Source organism: Homo sapiens, chromosome 5, assembly GCF_000001405.40.
Source record: "Homo sapiens chromosome 5, GRCh38.p14 Primary Assembly".
NCBI lineage: Eukaryota > Metazoa > Chordata > Mammalia > Primates > Hominidae > Homo > Homo sapiens.
The window spans coordinates 118990433-119014592 of NC_000005.10; the positions used below are offsets into that span (position 1 = coordinate 118990433).

Genomic DNA, 24160 nt, shown 5'->3' on the forward strand with positions numbered 1-24160 from the left:
TTCAAAATCCAAACATTTATCTCACCTACTACTTCTGCCCTGGTTCAAGCCCCCGTCATCTCTTGCATAGAATATTGCCAAAGACCTAAGTGGTCTCCTGCTCCATCTCCGCTCCTTATGAAGAAAATCCCCTACAAGTCCATTGTCTCAGAGGCTGACCAAAATCAAAGAAAGCTTCCATCCAGGCAAGACACAGAGTTGAGAAAGGAGAGCCATTTTCCTCTATAGGAAGCAAGAAATTCACCCAATATCCAGGTTTGTGAACAATGACCTTCAGACGCCTGAGGAAACATGCAGGTGAGGTTACCACCTTGGGGCAGACCCAGGTATCAGACCATCAGTGACTCAGCTTCTGGGAAGTGCCAAGACACCAGAAAGGGAAGTAAAATATCCTTTATGGGATACAGACAACTTACTAGTGTCAAGATAATGTATTGAGGTGTTAATGTATGTTTTGTTTATCTCCCAACTTCAGGTAGAAAACCAGACTTTTATGCTCCTTTGCCTCAGAGGAGTTTGGGTAGTAAAGACTGAGGACAATCTTAGGTCCACGCCTGGTGTTGTGGGAAAAGGAGATCCTGTTACTGGTAGAGGAAAGGGCCTCAGTAATGTAAGGGATTGAATATCCTGCCAGGCCTGCAGTATGAGGATTCAGCATTGTATAAGATTTGATTTAAATGAAATAAAAACATGGTATTTTTTGCTATATTCATTTTCTATCACTGTGGAACTAATAACCACAAATTTAGTGGCTTTTTCCTTTGTTTTTTTTTTTTTTTTTGAGATGGAGTCTCGCTCTGCCGCCCAGGCTGGAGAGTAGTGGCGTGATCTGGGCTCACTGCGACCTCCGCCTCCCGGGTTCAAGCAATTCTGCCTCAGCCTCCCGAGTAGCTGGGACTACAGGCTGCGTGCCACCATGTCAGGCCAGTTCTTTTTTTTTTTTTTTTTTTTTTTTTTTTGAGACGGAGTCTCGCTCTGTTGCCCAGGTCGGACTGCGGACTGCAGTGGCGCAATCTCGGCTCACTGCAAGCTCCGCTTCCCGGGTTCACGCCATTCTCCTGCCTCAGCCTCCCGAGTAGCTGGGACTACAGGCGCCCGCCACCGCGCCCGGCTAATTTTTTGTATTTTTAGTAGAGACGGGGTTTCACCTTGTTAGCCAGGATGGTCTCGATCTCCTGACCTCATGATCCACCCGCCTCGGCCTCCCAAAGTGCTGGGATTACAGGCGTGAGCCACCGCGCCCGGCCCAGTTCTGTATTTTTAGTAGAGACAGGGTTTTACTGTGTTGATCAGGCTGGTCTTGAACTCCGGACCTCAGGTGATCCACCCGCCTCGGCCTCCCAAAGTGCTGGGATTACAGGACTGAGCCACCGCGCCTGGCCACTTATTTTTCTTTTAAGTGAAAACCAAGTTTATTAGGCAAGCAAAAGAATAACAAATGGCTACTCCACAGGCAGAGCAGCAGCTTAGGCTACTTCATCAAGGATACTTTTTTTTTTTTTAATTATTATTATACTTTAAGTTCTAGGGTACATGTGCACGACATGCAGGTTTGTTACATATGTATACATGTGCCATGTTGGTGTGCTGCACCCATCAACTCGTCATTTACATTAGGTCTATCTCCTAATGCTATCCCTCCCCGCTCCCCTCACCCCACAACAGGCCCTGGTGTGTGATGTTCCCCTTCCTGTGTCCAAGTGTTCTCATTGTTCAATTCCCACCTGTGAGTGAGAACATGCAGTGTTTGGTTTTCTGTCCTTGCGATAGTTTGTTGAGAATGATGGTTTCCAGCTTCACCCATGTCCCTACAAAGGATATGAACTCATCCTTTTTTATGGCTGCATAGTATTCCATGGTGTATATGTGCCACATTTTCTTAATCCAGTCTATCATTGATGGGCATTTGGGTTGGTTCCAAGTCTTTGCTAATGTGAATAGTGCCGCAATAAACATATGTGTGCATGTGTCTTTATAGCAGCATGATTTATAATCCTCTGGGTATATACCCAGTAATGGGATGGCTGGGTGAAATGGTATTTCTAGTTCTAGATCCTTGAGGAATAGCCACACTGTCTTCCACAGTGGTTGAACTAGTTTACAGTCCCACCAACAGTGTAAAAGTGTTCCTGTTTCTCCACATCCTCTCCAGCACCAGTTGTTTCCTGACTTTTTAATGATTGCTATTCTAACTGATGTGAGATGGTATCTCATTGTGGTTTTGATTTCCATTTCTCTGATGGCCAGTGATGATGAGCATTTTTTCATGTGTTTTTTGGCTGCATAAATGTCTTCTTTTGAGAAGTGTCTGTTCATATCCTTTGCCCACTTTTTGATGGGGTTGTTTGATTTTTTTCTTGTAAATTTGTTTAAGCTCTTTGTAGATTCTGGATACTAGCCCTTTATCAGATGGGTAGATTGCAGAAATTTTCTCCCATTCTGTAGGTTGCCTGTTCACTCTGCTGGTAGTTCCTTTTGCTGTGCAGAAGCTCTTTAGTTTAATTAGATCCCATTTATCAATTTTGGCTTTTGTTGCCATTGCTTTTGGTGTTTTAGACATGAAGTCCTTGCCCATGCCTATGTCCTGAATGGTATTGCCTAGGTTTTCTTCTAGGGTTTTTATGGTTTTAGGTCTAACGTTTAAGTCTTTAATCCATCTTGAATTAATTTTTGTATAAGGTGTAAGGAAGAGATCCAGTTTCAGCTTTCTACATATGGCTAGCCAGTTTTCCCAGCACCATTTATTAAATAGGGAATCCTTTCCCCATTGCTTGTTTTTGTCAGGTTTGTCAAAGGTCAGATGGTTGTAGATGTGTGGTATTATTTCTGAGGACTCTGTTCTGTTCCATTGGTCTATATCTCTGTTTTGGTACCAGTACCATGCTGTTTTGGTTACTGTAGCTTTGTAATATAGTTTGAACTCAGGTAGCATGATGCCTCCAGCTTTGTTCTTTTTGCTTAGGATTGTCTTGGCAATGTGGGCTCTTTTTTGGTTCCATATGAACTTTAAAGTAGTTTTTTCCAATTCTGTGAAGAAAGTCATTTGTAGCTTGATGGGGATGGCATTGAATCTGTAAATTACCTTGGGCAGTATGGCCATTTTCACGATATTGATTCTTCCTATCCATGAACATGGAATGTTCTTCCATTTGTTTTTGTCCTCTTTTATTTCATTGAGCAGTGGTTTGTAGTTCTCCTTGAAGAGGTCCTTCACATCCCTTGTAAGTTGGATTTCTAGGTATTTTATTCTCTTTGAAGCAATTGTGAATGGGAGTTCACTCATGATTTGGCTCTCTGTTTGTCTGTTATTGATGTATAGGAACGCTTGTGATTTTTGCACATTGATTTTGTATCCTGAGACTTTGCTGAAGTTGCTTATCAGCTTAAGGAGATTTTGGGCTGAGATGATGGGGTTTTCTAAATATACAATCATGTCATCTGCAAACAGGGACAATTTGACTTCCTCTTTTCCTAATTCAATACCCTTTATTTCTTTCTCCTGCCTAATTGCCCTGGCCAGAACTTCCAACACTATGTTGAATAGGAGTGGTGAGAGAGGGCATCCCTGTCTTGTGCCAGTTTTTCAAAGGGAATGCTTCTAGTTTTTGCCCATTCAGTATGATATTGGCTGTGGGTTTGTCATAAATACCTCTTATTATTTTGAGATACGTCCCATCAATACCTAGTTTATTGAGAGTTTTTAGCATGAAGAGCTGTTGAATTTTGTCAAAGGCCTTTTCTGCATCTATTGAGATAATCATGTGGTTTTTGTCTTTGGTTCTGTTTATATGATGGATTACATTTATTGATTTTCGTATGTTGAACAAGCCTTGCATCCCAGGGATGAAGCCCACTTGATCATGGTGGATAAGCTTTTTGATGTGCTGCTGGATTCAGTTTGCCAGTATTTTATTGAGGATTTTTGCATCAATGTTCATCAGGGATATTGGTCTAAAATTCTCTTTTTTTGTTGTGTCTCTGCCAGGCTTTGGTATCAGGATGATGCTGGCCTCATAAAATGAGTTAGGGAGGATTCCCTCTTTTTCTATCAATTGGAATCGTTTCAGAAGGAATGGTACCAGCTCCTCCTTGTACCTCTGGTAGACTTTGGCTGCAAATCCATCTGTTCCTGGACTTTTTTTGGTTGGTAGGCTATTAATTATTGCCTCAGTTTCAGAGCCTGTTAATTTGTCTATTCAGGGATTCAGCTTCTTCCTGGTTTAGTGCACCAATAATATTTATAGTTATTTCTTGATTATATGTTAAACAAGGGGTGGATTATTTATGAGTTTTCCAGGAAAGGGGTGGGCAATTTCCAGAACTGAGGGCTCCTCCCCTTCTCAGACCACACAGGATTACTTCCTGATGTTGCCTTGGCATTTGCAAACTGTCATGGTGCTGATGGGAGTGTCTTTTAGCATACTAATGCATTATAATTAGCATATAATGAGTGCTGAGGACGACCAGAGGTCACTTTCTTGGCCATATTGGTTTTGATGCGATTGGCCAGCTTCTTTATCACATCTTTATGACCTGTACCTTGTGCTGACTTCCTGTCTCATCCTGTGACTTAGAATGCCTAACCTCCTGGGAATTCAGCTCAGTAAGTCTCAGCCTTATTTTACCCAGCTCCTATTCAAGATGGAATTGCTCTGGTTCAAACGCCTCTGACATATTTCCCACCTTCCTTTCATACGAGAACCCTTAATGCTAAGGGTTTTAGAGGGACAAAGATCCATCTTCTGTAGCTTCTTCAGGCTGAATAGGGGTGATGATATTCCTGCCTAACTACTAGGGTCTCTTGTATTTGGGGTAGAGAGGAGCTTAGTCAGAAAGCATCAGTATGGTGAGGGCCATCCATAACTCTGCAAAAGGTGATATCTGGAAGATTAATAGGTGTCCAATTTAAGATAACATTGAGTAAACTTACCCTGAATTCTTACACGGAGAGTACAGCAGCAACATATTCCGCAACAGTAAAACAAAACTATCCCAAGTAAACTAGTTAAGAAAGCTTTCCATGAACTGGGCAATTTGAAACCAAGCTGATATGGTGTCACTACCTGATTCCAATATATGCCCAGAATTACAATATTGATCTATATTTTTACATTATCCATCCCCCTTGTTTTGTTTGAGCAGCAGGCAGAGATCACTGACTGGTTCACAGGAATGAGTGTTCAGTCTAAATTGCAGGGAAAACATCCTCAAAAACAACTGATGAGGTTACAATCTAATAATAACTGTACCATAGTTCTTGAAACATAGTTTTTCTCTCTTCAATCTCCCATTTTTACTAAATACAAATCATGGTAAAACCAATTTGCCTTATTATACTTAGCCTGATTATTTGTATAAAGTGCAGCAGGAATAATTATTTGCCGCATAGGCTTATTTTAATTAGCTTTGATGGAACTTTTGTTCCATCAAAGGAATCTTAGATAAGACTTTTTTAAAAGCCCAGCCCAGCTATGGGGTTGTACTGTCAAATACCTATGAGTTGGGTAAGTTCCTCTTCTCTTGAGATCCCAAGATAATTTGGGGCTTCTGGGCCTGTCAAAAACTGACATTCTTTACTTACCACAGGTCTGGAACTCTATACAGGGACTATGTAGACAGGGTATGAGGTGAGGCCAGTTTCCCAAGGGGTTTTTATTGGATTTATAAGTCAAATTTGATTCCTTAAAAGAAAGCATGCTATTCCAGTCAAAACCTTGGTAAAATAACCAGTGTCTCCAATTGTGTCCCGTTACAAAAGAAAACAGATACTTATTGCACTTATGCAAATAACTATATTGCCATAAATTGAGAATGCTCACAAATAATTTCCAATTCTGGAGAAATCAGGTAGAGAGAAATAAATATGCTCCAAATTTTGTTCACAGGAATAGACTTTACTCAATTGATAAAAGCTGTAAGTAACTTGAAAGTTTTCTTGGCTCTGAAACACAAAACAAAGGATCAGCAATGTTTTAAACAAAAAAGTCAAAAAGATTACTTCAGTCTTCTATTAATTCAGTCTATGTAATTAACTCCTGTTGTGCTTGATATTCATGAACATTCAGCTCTCCATGCGAGTCCTGAAACTTTTTTCGTCTACTGTAATGTTACAATCTCCAAAGTTATTAGAAATGTGCACTTAAGAGCACCTGTCAAAGTCCTATAGCTGATTATAAACCACCTTTTGAAGAGGATCAAAATTAGACAATTGTCTGTGGATGACAGTCTTAGGTCAGCCACTATTAAGAGCCACAATTGACAAGAAAATTTGGTTACTTCTTTGGCATACAACAATTTTACATAACAATTATAACTATTAATAACAAAACTAAGTCATATTAGAATTATGAGTTTACATGATTTTGGAATACACACCAATTACATTTATACAAATACAGCCCAAAGAAAGCCAAATACCATTTTATATTTGACTACACTTCCTGTATGATTTTTATTTTTATTTCTATTTTTGAGTCAGAGTCTCACTCTGTCACCCAGGCTGGAGTGCAGTGGTGCAATCTCAGCTCACTGCAACCTCTGCCTCCTGGGTTCAAGTGATTCTCCTGCCTCAGCCTCCCAAGTAGCTGGTATTACAGGCACATACCACCACGCCCAGCTAATTTTTGTGTTTTTAGTAGAGACAAGGTTTCACCATGTTGGCCAGGCTGATCTCAAACTGCTGATCCCAGGTGATCCATCTGCCTCAGCTCCCCAAAGTGCTGGGATTACCAGTGTAAGCCACCATGCCCGGCTCTACATGATTTTTGTACCAAATAAGCCAAATATGTCTCTTTTGAACTTTAGGGGACCTAATATCTAAAAGATTAATTAGGTCAGAGAAAAACGTAATTTAGAGTATGATTTTGGAAAGTTTGTCAGACATCAAAGGTTTAAAACACGATAACATAAAATAGAATCCCAGGCCACCATAAGTTATTCATTCAGGCAAAATGATGACTTAAAAATATTTTTAGAGGCAAAAACCTTTATTCATTAAGAGGGAAGACTTAGCTTTCTAAACAATCTGTGTCTTTTTTTTTCTTTTCTTTCTTTTTCCTATAGTTTATTTAAAAGGCAAACAAAAATCTTTCTTTTTTTTTGATAGTACATGAAAATCTTGTTCAAGAGAGAAAACCAAATTTTACCCTTTGCGTTAGTGTACTATTAATGTCAACCCCAATTTTTAATAAAACTTTATAGACAAATCTATCCAATTTTTATGTCTGATCATAAGGTAAGATTCTCATAAACCTTTTACAAATCTTTACAAATTTTTGTTAAAGAACAGATTAGTGCTGTAAGAAAAACCTGTTATGCCTTTATTCCAATATTCCAAAGGGTATTCCAATGAATACCCTTTTAACTTTAGCCAATATGTTCACACATAGAATTTCTTTTACAAGATTAATTTTTCACAAATCTTCCACAACTTACTCAAACCTTCAGCTTTATTCTACTTAACTTAAAACAATCCTTTAACCGTTTAGGCACACAAAAAAATCTACATTCTCATGACATCTTATAATCTTTTACAAAAAACACATTTCGCTTTCCTTACACATCTTGCATGTAAAGCTGTTTTTATTTCCAAGATTACTAAAGTCATGTGAACTAAAAGGCATTAAAGTTTTTACTTTTCTGACAAAATATTTGAGTTAAGCGTTTATTATTTTTAAAACAAATAAAGCTCTTTCTTATGTAAACATCACACACACGGCCAGGCGCGGTGGCTCACGCCTGTAATCTCAGCACTTTGGGAGGCCGAGGCAGGTGGATCATGAGGTCAGGAGTTCGAGACCAGCCTGGCCAACATGGTGAAACCCCATCTCTACTAAAGATACAAATATTAGCCAGGTATGATGGCGGGTGCTTGTAATCCCAGCTACTCAGGAGGCTGAGGCAGGAGAATTGCTTGAACCCAGGAGGTGGAGGTTGCAGTAAGCCAAGATCATGCCACTGCACTCCAGCATGGGTGACAGCAAGACTCCATCTCGGGGAGAAAAACTAAGTAAATAAAAATCATACAATCTCCCTCTCCCTCTCCCTTTCCCTTTCCCCCTCCCCCTCCCCCTCCGCCTCCCTCTCCGCACGGTCTCCCTCTGATGCCGAGCCGAGGCTGGACTGTACTGCCGCCATCTCGACTCACTGCAACCTCCCTGGCTGATTCTCCTGCCTCAGCCTGCCGAGTGCCTGGGATTGCAGGCACGCGCCGCCACGCCTGACTGGTTTTCGTATTTTTTGGTGGAGGCGGGGTTTCGCCGTGTTGGCCAGGCTGGTCTCCAGCTCCTGACTGCGAGTGATCTGCCAGCCTCGGCCTCCCGAGGTGCCGGGATTGCAGATGGAGTCTCGCTCACTCAGTGCTCAATGTTGCCCAGACTGGAGTGCAGTGGCGTGATCTCGGCTCGCTACAACCTCCACCTCCCAGCCGCCTGCCTTGGCCTCCCAAAGTGCCGAGATTGCAGCCTCTGCCCGGCCGCCACCCCGTCTAGGAAGTGAGGAGCATCTCTGCCTGGCCGCCCATCATCTGTGATGTGAGGAGCGCCTCTTCCCGGCCGTCATCCCGTCTAGGAAGTGAGGAGCGTCTCTGCCCGGCCGCAACCCTGTCTGGGAACTGAGGAGTGTCTCTGCCCCGCCGCCACCCCATCTGGGAGGTGAGGAGCGTCTCTGACCAGCCGCCCCGTCTGAGAAGTGAGGAGCCCCTCCACCCGGCAGCCACCCCGTCTGGGAAGTGAGGAGCCCCTCCGCCCAGCAGCCGCCCCATCTGGGAGGTGTACCCAACAGCTCATTGAGAACGGGCCATGATGACAATGGCGGTTTTGTCGAATAGAAAAGGGGGAAATGTGGGGAAAAGAAAGAGAGATCAGATTGTTACTGTGTCTGTGTAGAAAGAAGTAGACATAGGAGACTCCATTTTGTTCTGTACTAAGAAAAATTCTTCTGCCTTGGGATGCTGTTAATCTATAACCTTACCCCCAGCTCTCTGAAACATGTGCTGTGTCCACTAAGGGTTAAATGGATTAAGGGCGGTGCAAGATGTGCTTTGTTAAACAGATGCTTGAAGGCAGCCTACTCGTTAAGGGTCATCACCACTCCCTAATCTCAAGTACCCAGGGACACAAACACTGAGGAAGGCAGCAGGGCCCTCTGCCTAGGAAAACCAGAGACCTTTGTTCACATGTTTATCTGTTGACCTTCCCTCCACTATTGTCCTATGACCCTGCCAAATCCCCCTCTCCCAGAAACACCCAAGAATGATCAATAAATACTAAAAAAAATAAAATAAAATAAAAATCATACACACATCACATATAAATATAGACAGAAGAAGATCCAGTAATTTTAAGATTTTTCATTTGCCAGTTTTTTTAATTACTGACTCCAGGGTGGAGCCCTTGGAGGAACAGGGCCAGGAAAGCATGAAGTTCCTATGGCCTAATAAGCAGGCACAGCTGAAAGGCAAAACATCCCTCAAAATTAAGGGTCTCATTTTTTACCAGATCCTGGATCCCAAAGAAAGAGAAGTGCTATGGAATAAGACAATGCAGTGATTTTGCCATGCATTTGATTGCAAAGCAATACAAAGCCAATCAGCCCATTCTGTAATTAGCCCATCTTTCATGAGAGTCTTACCTCTCAGTAGCGGGTAGGGACATTTTCATTTCTTTTAGGTAGCCAAAGGCATGCTTCTCTAATCCAAACATGCAAAGAGCTATCTCCCCATAACTTCCATTAGCCAGCCCCAGAAGTACATTTCCTATCTAGTTATTACAACCAAAGCTCTCTCATAGTGTGAAGTAATTTCTGCTAACCCCAAAAGTCAAAACCATTAGATAAGGCAATGCAAAATACAACAGAGCTTTAGATTTTGAGAAGGATTTATCTGCTTTCAATTCCAGGGGTTTCATGAGGAAAACAGAGGTTTTTCCCAAAACAGGGTCTGTGGTGCCTCCTCTGTTTTTCCCAGGGAGTCCCATAAAACTTGAATATCCACTTTTAAAAAGCTGACTTTTAACCATAGTACTCTTTAAAAAATCTTTTTAAGTCTCTTATTACATGACTTTAGCCAGGCCAAACAGCCAATATTTTTGTGCTCAGAGAAAGGAAAATTCAAGACAGTTAGTGGAGGGGAAGAGAATCAACAAATAGTGAAGGTCACACAGACAAACCAGAAAGGACTCATTCACTAAGCAAGGAATTGAACCCTGAACCTGGGCCACCATTAAGAAAAGATAAAGCCTTAGCCACTAAGCTACAGCATTGGGCAGTTTCTGATGCTTTTTCCCAGAAGGAGCCTAAAGCATCCAATTTTGTGCTTTGCAATGGGTTTTAACTGCTCAAGACAATTTTTAGAGCTGACTATGACATGAACCCTAAAATTCCTTTTCCCTGGAAAGGGGAGAGCAAGCAAAAGTACTGCCACATGATTACAAGGACATTTTTCAGTGTGTGGTCTCTGGGCAAGATGTTTGTCCTGAGTAATAGAAAAGATAAGAAAGGGAAAGGAAAGGGAGAAAAGCATTGCCTGAGGCAGGGTGGGGAAGGCAAGGTGCTCAGGGAGGCCAGAGAAAGACCCACCCAATGCAGTGACACTGAATCAAAAGTTCAGGCAGCCACTTGTCAGTTGGGGAGGGATCTTTTCCAGCAGCTCCGTCAGCTCTAAAGTTTCCCCCTTTGGGGATGAAAAAGCTCCCCATGCCCCACGGTCCTGTACATGACTAACCCTGTCACCCATAGCCTTCAGCAAAGAATGCAAGGCAGATTAATCCAAAGAGAATAGTGGTTAACTTCCCATAATAACAAATCTATTTTTAACCAAAAGGGACTTTACTGAGAGGGTGGTCTCTAACCCCCTAAATCTTAGGGAGGACTCTAACCTTCCTAAGTTCAGCCTTGACCCTAAGTTTGGTCAAGCATCCTTGCCTTTTATTAAGAGGGGCTTTTAACCCACTCTGTCTTAGGAGAGACTCTAACTCCCCTAAGCTGGGCCTCTAACCCAATCCCATCCTTTACCCAGGTACAGCACCACTTACCCAGAGTCAGCCAATCAGTGCTGCAGTCTGTTTCCTTTGAGTCCGGGGTCTCCTCAGTATCACTTCTTTGGGATTCATCAGGAAGATGTTACCAGAAAGGGGTCCTGATCCAAACCCCAAGAGAATGTTCTTGGACCTCACACAAAGAAGAGTTTGAGGCAAATTCATAAAGTGGAAGCAAGTTTATTAGGAAAGTAAAGGAATAGAGAATGGCTACTCCATAGGCATAGTAGTCAATTTAGTGGCTTTTTAACAGATACTTTTTTTCTCCAACCCCTCCTACCAACATACATTATTTATCTTACAGCTCTGTATGTCAGAAATCTGACATGGATCCCACAGGACTAAAATCTAGATGTTGGCAGGCTGGATTCTTTTGGAGGTTCTAAAGGATAATCTGTTTTCTTGCTTATCTAGGTGTTGGCAGAATTCAGTTCATTGTGGTGGTTATTTTCCTGCTGTCAGCTAAAGGCTAGTCTCAGCTTCTAGAGGTAACCCATGTTCTCTGGCTTATGGCCCCCATCCTCCATCTGTGAAGCCAGCAGGGGCAGGTTGAGTCCTTCTCATGTTCTGAATCTCTCCTGCCTCTTTTTCCATTACATCTTTCTAACCAACTCTCTGCCTTCCTTTTCCACTTCCATTTCTACCCAGATAATCCAGGATAATCTCCCTATTTTAAAATCAAATGGTTATCAAACTGAATTCCCTTTTGCCGTGAAGCAACATATTCATAAGGCTTTATACCAGAGGACAAAGATCACAGGGGTCAAAATTCTGCCCACCATAAATTTGCTCGCCTGAATTCCTGCTTGCAAATTCATACAAACTACATATGAAAAAAATGGAAATATATTTACCAAAAAAATCAATATTTCTATCAAGATACTGAGATTAAAGGTCTGGGTGTGTTTTTCTTATATCTTACAGATATTCTACACAATGACCATGTAAATACTATTTTTAGAAGAATATGGAACGTTAACTAGACATCAACATCTAATAATGGTCTGTTTAATACCAAGCTATATAAGTGGAAGATAGTTTCTATTAATTCCCTTCTTTGGTTAACTTGCTGACCTTTCCTTAATAATGTATTTCTAATTTTTTCTTTTCTTTTTTGAGACGGAGCCTGCTGTTGCCCAGGCTGGAAATGCAGTGGCATGATCTCAGCTCACTGCAACCTCTGCCTCCCAGATTCAAGCCATTCTCCTCCCTCAGCCTCCCAAGTAGCTGGGATTACAGGCGTGTGCCACCACAGCTGGCTAATTTTTGTATTTTTAGTAGAGACAGGGTTTAGTAGAGACAGGGTTTCACTATGCTGTCCAAGCTGGTCTCGAACTCCTGACCTCAGGTAATCCACCTGCCTCAGCCTCCCAAAGTGCTGGGATTACAGCCATGAGCCACCACACCCAGCCATATTTCTAATTTTTTAATGTGAGTTAGTAGTGAGTCCAGTGATGCTAATATTTAATGCAAGGTCCTCAAGTACAACTATCATGATTATTTTTATATAAGTTATTCTTAAATGACTTCGTTGATGATAGAGAGGTCTCCTTCTTTCTCTCAACCTCCAGGTTGAGATAGTTTTTCTTAGGGCAGGGCCTTCCTTCACAGCTTCATGCCTTTCACCCTTTCACCCAAATTGTCACCAATATGTCCTGAACCGTTTCTTTATTAGTTATACCATTGGTATAATGCTTGTCTTTTTGTTTCTTTAAGTTTCCTGACACTAGCTATCTATAAAAATGTCTTTTTCTGCCTGATTTTCCTCAGGGATCTATTCTAATTTTTATATTTTTTGGCTGTGCAGTGTTGCTTTTATATTTTCTTAAAATTCTAGGTTAATTAAATTGGATATTTATTATTTCTTCTTTTTCACATGTGAAGACCCACTATATTACTTCTTATCCACATATAGAATATATAATCTTAAAATAATCTTAGTCTTCTGCCTGTAGGATTTCTTTTTAGAGGAATGTTGCATAGGCTGAACTAGAACTCCTGGCCTCAAGCAATCTTTCTACCTCCTGATTAGTGGGAATTATAGGCACCGACTGCAGCAAAGGATTTTTTTTTCCTTTTTTTTTTCTCCATCTTGGTGAATACAGGGATTTTTTTTTAAAGCACTTTATTTGCTTGGATTTGTTTGTTTCACCAATCAGTTTTATAACAGGGTGTGTATATATATATATATAAAATATGTAAAATATATAATATAAATTTATAATTACATATAATATAAATTTATATATAATATATATTTTATATATATATATATGTGTATTTTTTGTAGACAGAGTCTCACTCTGTCACCCAGGCTGGAGTGCAGTGGCTCAATTTCCCCTGGGTTCAAGCCATTCTCCTGCCTCAGCCTCCTGAGTAGCTGGGACTATAGGTGCACACCACCATGTCCAGCTAATTTTTGTATTTTTAGTAGAGACAAGGTTTCATCATGTTGGCCAGGTTGGTCTCGAACTCCTGACCTCAAGTGATCTGCCTGCCTTGGTCTCCCAAAGTGCTGGGATTACAGGCATGAGTCACCACACCCAGCCAATTTTATATTTTGAATTAAATATTCCTACTGGGAGTTAAATAATTAAAATTGTAAAACCCAATTCTGATTACTGGGAATTTAATTTAACTATTTGAATGAAATAAAAATTAACTCTATTACTAGAATCATCTAATTTTCAAGCAAGAAAGGCATTTAAAGATTACGTAGCACAGTACTCCTCCAGCCTGGCTCACATTAGAATCACGTGAGGAACCCCCAGGCCAATTACATTAGAACATGGTATCAGGGGGAAACTTGCAGGCATTAGTACTCCTGGGAAATCTGTCCTGCAGCTTGAATTGAAAACCGCTGACCTAATCTAAGATTTTACTTCTACAGATGAAAAAGTTAAAGCTCAAAGGAAAACGACCAGGTAAAAAATTCAAGCCTCCTGACTTCAAACCTACTGAGTTTTCTACTCCACAGATTGTTCTCCATCTTTGAGGTGTTCGAAGGCTTCTCTAGAGCATTCATAATTGTTCATGAAGTCCTAGGTTCTACCTCAAACCTAATGAAGCAGAATTTGTCACTCCTTAGGTAATCCAGATGAGCACCAAAGTTGAGAAACATTGCAAGTTACCTAAAGTAATGAGGTTTTTATCATATAAAAAAATATAACTTACATTTCTGTCTTCCATTTTTTAAATTAATGGCTCTTTGTTTTTGTTAGATATATTGTTATTGTTTTTTTAATGTACCGCAATCCAATTTGGGGGACATTTTCACCACAGCAGTAATCATTACCACAACCACTCTTCTTTCCTTTGTTTTTCCTCTCTTTTTGTAGTCCTAAATTCTACAAGATGTTGAGCTGAGGCAATAAGTAATTGAACTGGAAAAATATGATGCAAAATGATTAAAACTAGAATGTCTAAATAGCTGCAAAGGCGTTGGCAGATATAATTGTTTAATTAGTCTAGAAAAATATAATTTAATTAATAGTTCAGTAAGTCTTAGCAAGAAGAACATTTATTGAAAACTCTCCATTTGTCAGGCACCATACTAAGCACTTTACATGTAATCCTAAGACTATCTCATAATCTTAGGATTAACTCTATAAGGTAAATATTATGTTTACCTCTACAAAGAAAAAGACTGAAGCATAGAGAGATTATAACACCAGGCACAGTGGCTCACACCTGTAATACCAGCACTTGGGGAGGCCGAGGTGGGAGGATCACTAGAAGCCAGGAGTTCGAGACCAGCCTGGCCAGCATGGCAAAACCCAGTCTCTACTAAAACTACAAAAATTATCCGGGCATGATGGCAGGCACCTGTAATCCCAGCTACTCGGGAGGCTGAGGCAGGAGAATTGCTTGAACCTGGAAGGTGGAGGTTGCAGTGAGCCAAGATCTTGCCACTGCACTCCAGCCTGAGAGACAGAGCAAGACTTCATCTCAAAAAAAAAAAAAAGAGAGAGAGAGACATTGAGTAACTTGGTCATGGTCACGGTCACACAATAGTAACTTTCAGAATTTATAAATTGGAATCATTAACAAAGATGTCCAAGGCCAAGGAACTTGTCTGTCTCCTTAAAAGCACTGAATAGACACAAATAGTTCTAGAAGTTAGCAGTATTGAGTACAAAGAAGAACCACTGAGAAGGCATTGAGCTACTTTCATATTCTATACTTTATATTAACTCAATTTTTCAAGACTGCTGGCTGTCCTCACGATTTTCTGGAAATTTTAGCTTCAAAACTTGACACAGGAACAAAATAGAAGAACTGAATAAACCAATACCATGAAAAATGTGTCAAAGAATTGCCTCCAGTATACTCTAGGCTCAAATAATTCTGCAAATGCATAATTTCAAACATTAAAAGATTAAATGTGATTAAAACTGTCATGGAAACATGGAAAGCTATTCAGTTATTTATTTTATTTTATTTTATTTTATTTTTGAGGCAGGGTCTCACTCTATCACCCAGGCACTCTATCACCAGTACAATGGCATGATTATGGCTCACTGCAGCCTTAAATTCCTGGATTCAAGTGATCCTTCTGCTTCAGCCTACCAAAGTGCTGGGAGTACAGGCATGAGCCACCATGCCTGGCTCAGATCTTGGTTTCTAATATGCTGAAATATATTCATTTATATTTAGTACTGTTTAATTAAAGGAACCAGGGCTCTTTGGAGAAATGGTCAATTCCAAAAATGGGGCAGGAAATAAGATAAATCTTGAGCATCTTGTAGTGCCAGAAAGTAAGGAATTATAAAAATAAACATAATTTTAAATAATTCATAAGCACAATGATGTAGGTACATCAAAGGGACAGAGAAGCCAATGGAAAGAGCTCCCAGTGACCAATGCTAGAACAATTTGAGCCACAAAATAGTTTAATAAATAATGAGTCTGGGCACAGTGGCTCATGCCAGCACTTTGGGAAACCAAGGTAGGGGAATTGTTTGAGCCCAGGCGTTCAAGACCAGCCTGGGAAACATAGTGAGACCTTGTCTCTACAAAAAATTTAAAAAATTAGCTGGGTATAATAGCATGCACCTGTAGTCCCAGCTACTTGGGAGGCTGAGGTGGGAGGATTGCTTGATCCCAGGAGGTTGAGGCTGCAGGGAGCCATGATTGCACCAGTGTACTCCAGCCTGAGCAAGACCCTGTCTCAAAAAAAAAAAACAAAAAAAAAAATATTGGATTATAACCCAATGTGTAAAATGAAAACCCATGGGTTTATAGTGATATAAATAAACACTTGAATAAATAAATGTGGGAGGAAAGACAAACCTCCTATGCAGAAGAGTCCCAAGTAATTTATGTAAGTACTCCATTCTCAAGGAGGGGCATCATAATTCTTCACTCCCTAAGAGTGGTCTGCGCATAGTAACTTTCTTCCAAAGAATACAGCATGGAAAGGGAGTGGGAAGAGAGTAATTTTTCAGTGGAAAAATTTGACAAACACTAACTCAAGGTCATTATGAGCAATATAAGTCATGATGGTAGTGTGTGCCCTTGTACCATGTGATGTAAATGAAAATAACCCCAGCCTAATTATGAGAAAAACACCAGACAAATCCCAGTTGTGGGGTATTTTATAAATTACCTTATCACTACTCCTCAAAACTGTCAAGGTTATTGAGAACAAAGCAAAACAGAAGTCTGAGAAACTGTCACAAACAAGAGAAGCCAAAGAACACGTGATTAACAAATATAATGTGGTAACTTGGATGGAATCCTGGAACAGAAAGAGGACATTAGGTAAAAACAAAGGACATCTGAATAAAGTACGGATTTTAGTTAACAATAATGTATTAATATTGGCTCATAAATTATAATGAATGTACAAGACTAACAAGATGTTTATAATAGAGAAACTGGATACTGGATATGTAGAAACTTTCTGTACTATCTTCACAATTTTTCTGCAAATCTAAAACCAATCTGAAAAAATTTATATTTTTAAAGAAGATAATTGTAGGCAGTTAAAACGTAAACTAAAACAAAAGGTATCTTCCATAATAGAAACATGAAATACTTAGGACTAATCCTAATAGGAAATTAACAAGACCTATGTGATGAAAAGACATAAAACTTCAGAGTGTGCTCACTTCAGCAGCACATATACAAAAATTGGAATGATACAGAGAAGATTAACATGGCCACTGCACAAGGATGACATGAAGGAATTAAAAATTTTAAAAAAAGAAAAACTTCACTGAGTAATGTGAACATTTTTAGTAACTAAAAATGTATAGCATTTGCCTTTATAGAAAACTGAATATCACTAACGTGTTGTTTCTTCCCAAACTATATAATCTTAATTCAAACCTAAAAGGGGCTTATTCACTGCTAGTGAAAATGTAAAATGGTAGTACTATGACAGTTTCTTAGAATTCAAATATATACCTACCTTTGGACCAAGCCCTTTTACTCCTCCTCAAAAGAAATGAAAATATATGTTCACACAAACACTTGTTCTTAAATGTTCATAGTAATTTTATTTGCAATATCCCTCTCAGTGGGGGCTGCTATAACAAAAATACCATATACTGCATGGCTTATAAACAACAGAAATTTATTCCTCACAGTTCTGGAGGATGGCAAGTCCAAGATTAAGCCACAGGCAGATTCAGTTTTTGGTGAGGTCCCACTTCCTGGTTCATAGACAGATGGCCATCTTCTCATTGTTTCTTCATACAGCAGAAGAGGCAGAGGAACTCTCTGAGGCCTTTTTTATAAGGACAGCAATCCTATTCATGTGGCCTCCAACCATATGACCTATCATCTCCAAAGGCCCCACCTCCCAACAACCATATGACCTATCATCTCCCAAAGGCCCCACCTCCAAACACCGTCACATTAGGGATTATTAGTTTTCAACATATGAATTTTGGGAAGACACAAACATTCAGCTTATAGCAACCTTAAAACTGGGGGAAAAATAAGAAATATTCATCAATAGATCAGTGGATAAAGAATATGGTATATCTATACAAATGGAATAATACCCGATAACAAAAGAGGAATTAACTACTAATAACTGCAACAATATTGTTGAATCTCGAAATCGTTATGCTGGTGAAAGAAGCCAGACACACCATATAATTCCACACATAAAAAGTTCTAGAAAATGCAAACTAGCATATACTGACAGAGAACAGATCAGTGGTTGCGAAGAGCCAAGGGCAGAAGGGAGGTTATATGCAAAGTGGCTCAAGAAAACAGAGGTGACAGAAATGTGCCATACATTGTGTAATACAAGTTTCACAGGGGTTATACATCTGTCAAATATCACCAAATTTTACCTCTTAAATATATGCAAGTTATACATACATTTGTATGTATGTAAGTTATACCTCCAAAAAGTTTTTTAAAAACCTAAATCAGGTAAGGGCCAGATATGGCAAAATAATTTTTTCTTATTTGAGAATAGGAAAGAAAAAAAAATTTAATGAAAGGTAATGAGTGGGTCCTGTCAAAAAGCAAACTCAGACTTAGTAAGGAGACTTTGTTGGAAGGATTATTCTAAGAGGAAAAGGGTCTCTTTCAATAGGAGAAGGGGAGCTATTGCAATAACAGGAACTCTTTGACCATAATACCTGCAAGCTTCTCAAGAGTTAGGTGAAAAGAGTTTTTCTTTTATAGAGAGGAGTAAACTAGATTAGAAAGATTTGGATGTGGGCAGGTGGGATAAGAGAATGGGATTAAAGAATGTTTTACCCAGAAGCCAGCCTTCTCTCCAGAGATGCTGTTGAAGAAGGGTTACATGCTGACTCAGACTGAGGATGGGCCAAGGTTCAGAGACCTGGCGGATAGATAGAATCTTAACCAAAGTGTGATTAACAAGCATTTTGTTCCCATTGATCATTAGTACAAACAAGCTTAGTTAATCATTTATGAGGCAAAGAGTGGGAATTTGGAGTCTGTTTCTGGCCTTGTCATAGGTAAACAAGGCAGTATACATGAGTTTTATCTAAATTATATGGGAAAGGGTGCTTCTTTGCAGCAAGGCCTTTCTGAAACACAAAAGGGTGGGGGATTTCTCCATCTTGCTCTTTTCCAGGAGCACAGAACTTAGGTGAAATTCAACACTGTCAATTTCTTCTAAACAAGGCTGCCATGTTGCACAATTCTAGAGAGCATTTTATTATTTCCCAGATAGGCATGTAAAGATATGATAATTAAGACTAATCAACTGAAAAAAATAGATAACTGTTGAAGAGAATTCATTACAGTACATAGAAGAACCTAAAACATGATAAAAAATGTAATAGCCATCAATGAAAAAAATCACACATTATTAAAAGTAAGACATTGCCGGGACGCCCACCTCACACGTGCGAGGGTGGCGGGAGCCATGGGGGCTATGGGGATGAGCCACATGCTGGCCTCTTTCTTTGACCTGGACAGCATGCTCATCGACATGGCCAGGGTGAGCAGGAGAGACCTGTTGGAGGTGATAAAGCTCTTACAATCAAAATATCATTTTAAGAAAAGGCTGAAATCATCTGTGATAAAGTTCAAGTTAAACTCAGGAAGGAATGTTTTCATCCTTACAGTACATGCATTACTGATCTAAGGACTTCAATTGGGAAGAAGCAGTCCAGGAAACAAAAGATGGTGCCGCCAATAGAAAATTGACTGGAGAATGTCACTTCCTTTGGAAATCTACACGTTTACAGCTTATGACACTAGCAGAAAATATCAAAGTCATGCTCACCGAACTTTGAAAGAAGGTCTGCCTATTTTTATTAAGGAATGGGGACAGACAGATCCAGAGGGAGAAGATTGAGCCTTGTGCCTGTCAGTCGTATTTCCACGCTATTGGAGGTGGAGAGCAGAGAGAGAAGCCAGCACCATCCATATTTTATTACTGCTGCAATCTTCTCAAAGTACAACCTGGGGACTGTATGATGGTCAGTGATACGTTAGAAACCGACGTCCAAGGAGGCCTCAATGCAGGACTGAAAGCAACAGTCTGGATCAATAAAAATGGAATAGTGCCACTGAAGTCCTCCCCCCTTCTGCATTACATGGTTTCTTCTGTGCTGGAGTTACCTGCTCTCTTACAAAAAGTATACACCACAAAGTCAGGATGTCCGCTTAAAGCACATAAAAGGGCATGATTATGAACTTCAGAATCAATGTGCAGAGTTTGAACTAAGAAAAGTTAGGGCATTCCACTTACTATGGTCCAGAATAATTTTACTTATGATTTAATGACCAATATTGCAAAGGTCCTCCCAACCCTATTGCTTTTAAGTTCAACCATTGACTGGTATTTGTATCTGAAAATTCAGATTGCATTAATACAAAGTAGTATAGCCCAGAAAATTTGAGGAAATATATTATTTGTTAGTCTGTAACAGGAGATTTTTAAAATTAATTTTATTAATCTTTTAGTACCTTGACTGCATGATACCAAGCAGGCTAGCTTACACATGGATACACAAATGCCAGGTTTTTCTTCTGGCTTAAAAATAGATATTTTTTAAAAATAGATTTTCTAAAACACATAATAGATTTATCACAGCAACTGAATCTGGTTAATATGAAATAAGTTCTAAGTCACATGCAAATCAAGGTATTTCATCATGAAATTATTTTGCATGTTTTTAAAACATAAAACATATTTTTGCCTATTTTGGAGGTATACTTCCTTTTCTATTATGAATCTGATTTTTTTGCATGACTTTTTTTTTCAGAGGAGAACACAATTTTCTTGGTGGTGTGTGACAGATTCCTCCAGTTAAAAAATAAATAAATAAATAAAAGCTTAAAATCTACACATGGTGGCTGAGTAGGGCGAGGCAGCTCACCTGAGCACGGCTGGGCCCAGTCCTGGGCTGGGGCCGGGGCTGGGAATGGGGCGCAGTGAGGCTGTGAGCCGGCCCTGAGCCAGCCCTGCGTCGGGTGAGCGGGGCTCAGGGGGCGCCAGAGCTGGAGGCGGAAGCGTGAAGTCAGGACTGAGTGGGTGAAGAGAACCTGGGCTGAGCAGACATGGCCACTTATCACCAAGAAGGGCAGATGCAGCTGCCCCTAGCTGATGCCATTCGTTCATGTCTCATCGATACTTTCTCATCTAGCATTTGCAAGGCTTGAGCCAAGCTGTGCCGTGGCACACTATCAGGGAGTTACTTCATCCTTCCCACCAGAAGAAACTTATGTTGGGAGATCAACACCAGCTAGTGTGCTTCTCCATAAAGCCTCAACGTATAGGACAGATTTCACATGCCCAGAGGCTGTTGAGCAGGCTTCATGTGCGCTGCACTCAGAGGCCACCTCTTTCTTTGTGGGCCGGATGGGTCCTTGAGTGTCCTCTCTTCACAAACTTCGTCATCTTCCTCATCTTTTTGAATATGATCGTATTGATGGTTGAAATAGAATTGCTGGAATCCACAAATACCTAACTGTGGCTATTGAAGCTGAGCTTGGAGGTGGCAACTTGGTTTATCTTGTTTATTTTCATCCTGGAGATCCTTCTTATGTGGCTATCCTAGCTTTTCCTTTTTCCGGAAGAGTGTCTGGAATGTCTTTGACTTTGTTGTTACCATGTTGTGCAGGCACTGATGAACTTGGAAGACAAAGCAATGGATGGCTTCAATATCCTTGGGCCCAGCAAAAGATAATGAAGGGAATTGTTGGAAATAGAGAATTCAAAACATAAATGTCTGTTCAGATAGAAAAAAAATCCACACATGGTCCTCCTTTCTTACCTGTGCACAGTGAGCTTGTAGCTTCCTTGTAGTCTTTACCTCTCAAGGAAATGTTTTTACTATCTTTTCCCAGATACACAATGGGGTTGAGGGAGCTAGGCTGTCTTGCTGGAGATAAGTGCAAGCCACATGGCACCAAAAGTCATTTTTCTTCTGTGGATCCATAAAAGCAAAATTTCCTTGGTGCAGCCTAAGCATGCAGCCCCCCTTCTGTTCTCTACTGACAGTGGTTTCACCCATATGATGAACCGAATAGAAAATTCGGTTTCGCTATGAGCCATTTCCAGAGCGCCATTTTAATACTTGAGTGACTCTTCTTAGAGTTACCATCAGCCTTAAATCTCCTGTTTTTCACATTTTTGAATATATCGTTGTTTTGCAGATTTCTATATCTAATTCAGGATTTACTTGGAGCTTAATTATTAATGGCTCCGTAGCAAGGCATCATCTTGCAACCAGAGAATTTTCTCTGGACCATTAGGCTGGACAATCTCACGATTACACTTACCAAACTTGGAGTAAAGTAGTTGATAAAGAATAAAGGAGGTTATTAAAGTGGTTAATAAATATAATTGGATTGGTTTTTGGTGGGTTTTTCTTTTAACCGTTGGATAATAAACTACTAAATAATTACAGCTGTTTGTGGTGGCCCACACCTGTAATCCTACCACTTTGGGAGGCCAAGGCGGGTGGATCACTTGAGGTCAGGAGTTCGAGGCCAGCCTGGCCAACATGGTAAAACCCCGTCTTTACTAAAAATACAAAAATTAGCCAGAAATCACTTGAACCTGGGAGGCGGAGATTGCAGTGAGCTGAGATTGTGCCACTGAGCTCCAGCCTGGGCAACAGAGCAAGACTACGTCTCAAAAAATGAAATAAACTAATAATGGAAAATATTAGATTGTGTGTTTGGATGTATAGCTATGTCTCCAAGATTAATAGTCAGAGAATCAAATTGTATATTGTACCTATCTGTGAACTTATTTCTTTAGCCAGCTGTTTTTCTGTCTACTGCCAAGAAACAGGATTCTCTGTCTTGTGTGAATGCCCTTTTGTGTTTACTGCTTACTCTTGATTTTTAAAAATGTGATTGTACCCTTGACTGTCCCAAAGTGTTGTTTCTATACCACTGAACATTTGTGAACAGAGTGTATTTGTAGTTTCAGATACAGTACCTATATGACATTGATCATATTTTAGCTATTTAAAACTTAAGTTGGAGGATTTTGGCAAAAGTAGTTATGTGGATGATTGCTCTAATAGACTGGTTGGCATGTGTGATGCTGGGGGCTCATTCTTTTAGCTGTCCCACAGGATGGATGTATAGGCAGTGTCACATTCATTACACTATGGATAAAGGTTCATCCCTTTTACACAGTGGTGACAAATCTCAACAAGGTAGTTCCTAGGATGTTAAGTGAGCAGTTCTTCAGCAAAAATAATGTAGGAGAAAAAAATGGAATTATTTAATTTCCTTGTCTTCACAGTTTGTATTCTACATAGTACAGTAAGACAATATTAAATTCCATTTGCACCCTTCCTTACGGAAGAACTTTGTGGTTATCTACCTTCTGAGTGGAATGTTACTGAAGATATTTTTAAATATTGAAATAAACCCATGATTTTATTAATAATTTTTCATTTTAGACTAAGATCCCTTAAAATTAAAAAATGTTATAACAGTGAAAAAAAAATATGATATCTTTGGATAAAAAGCAAGTTAGAACTACACATGACATGAAAAAACAAAAACAAAAACAAAAAAACAGGTCACAGAGAAAAAGTTGAATTTAAAAATGATACCACCAGGCCAAGCATGGTGGCTCATGCCTGTAATTCTAGCACTTTGTGAGGCCAAGGCCAGGGGATCACTTGAGCTCAAGAGTTCGAGGCCAATCTGGGCAACAAAGTGAGACCCCTCCATTCTATTTTTAAAATAAAAAAAAATAAAAATTTTTAAATGAAAAAAAATGGGCTCGGCATGGTGGCTCACACCTGTAATCCCAGTACTTCAGGAGGCCGAGGCGGGCGGATCACGAGGTCTGGAGTTTGAGATCATCCTGGCCAACATGGTGAAGCCCCGTCTCTACTAAAAATACAAAAAATGAGCCGGGCATGGTAGCATGCATCTGTAGTCCAAGCTACTCAGGAGGCTGAGGCAGTAGAATTGCTTGAACCTGGGAGGCAGAGGTTGCAGTGAGCCCAGATAGCGCCACTGCACTCCAGCCTGGCGACAGAGCGAGACTCCGTCTCAAAAAGAAAAGAAAAAAAAAAGATAACATCTTTTGTAAATTCAGAGAAAATATACCTTAATATTTGGTTGATATCTCTATAGGAAAGGTCTTTATAACCATAAAGGCAATGCAACAAAAGCATAAACGAAAAATGTTTATTTGATTAATAAAA

At 40.0% G+C, this 24160-nt stretch overlaps 1 long non-coding RNA gene and 3 pseudogenes across 2 annotated transcripts in view; 3 read left to right on the plus strand and 1 right to left on the minus strand.

Annotated features, from left to right (window-relative positions):
• Positions 1-5879: 5879 nt before the first annotated feature.
• DMXL1-DT (DMXL1 divergent transcript) overlaps positions 5880-24160 on the minus strand; it is a 74579-nt gene continuing 56298 nt past the window's right edge. The window contains exons 4-9 of one of the 2 annotated variants that reach the window (NR_134249.1): positions 16642-16773; positions 16326-16429; positions 14859-16198; positions 14208-14416; positions 11031-11166; positions 5880-5941 (exon numbers count right to left, since the gene is read on the minus strand). This is a non-coding gene — a long non-coding RNA (DMXL1 divergent transcript). Of the gene's footprint in view, positions 5942-11030; positions 11167-14207; positions 14417-14858; positions 16199-16325; positions 16430-16641; positions 16774-21370; positions 21647-24160 lie in introns of those variants that run through there. The other variant, NR_134250.1, reaches the window with a different exon arrangement.
• Positions 17139-17236, plus strand: RNU6-373P (RNA, U6 small nuclear 373, pseudogene; annotated as a pseudogene).
• On the plus strand, positions 19399-22380 carry NANPP2 (NANP pseudogene 2; annotated as a pseudogene).
• On the plus strand, positions 21023-21726 carry CATSPER2P2 (CATSPER2 pseudogene 2; annotated as a pseudogene).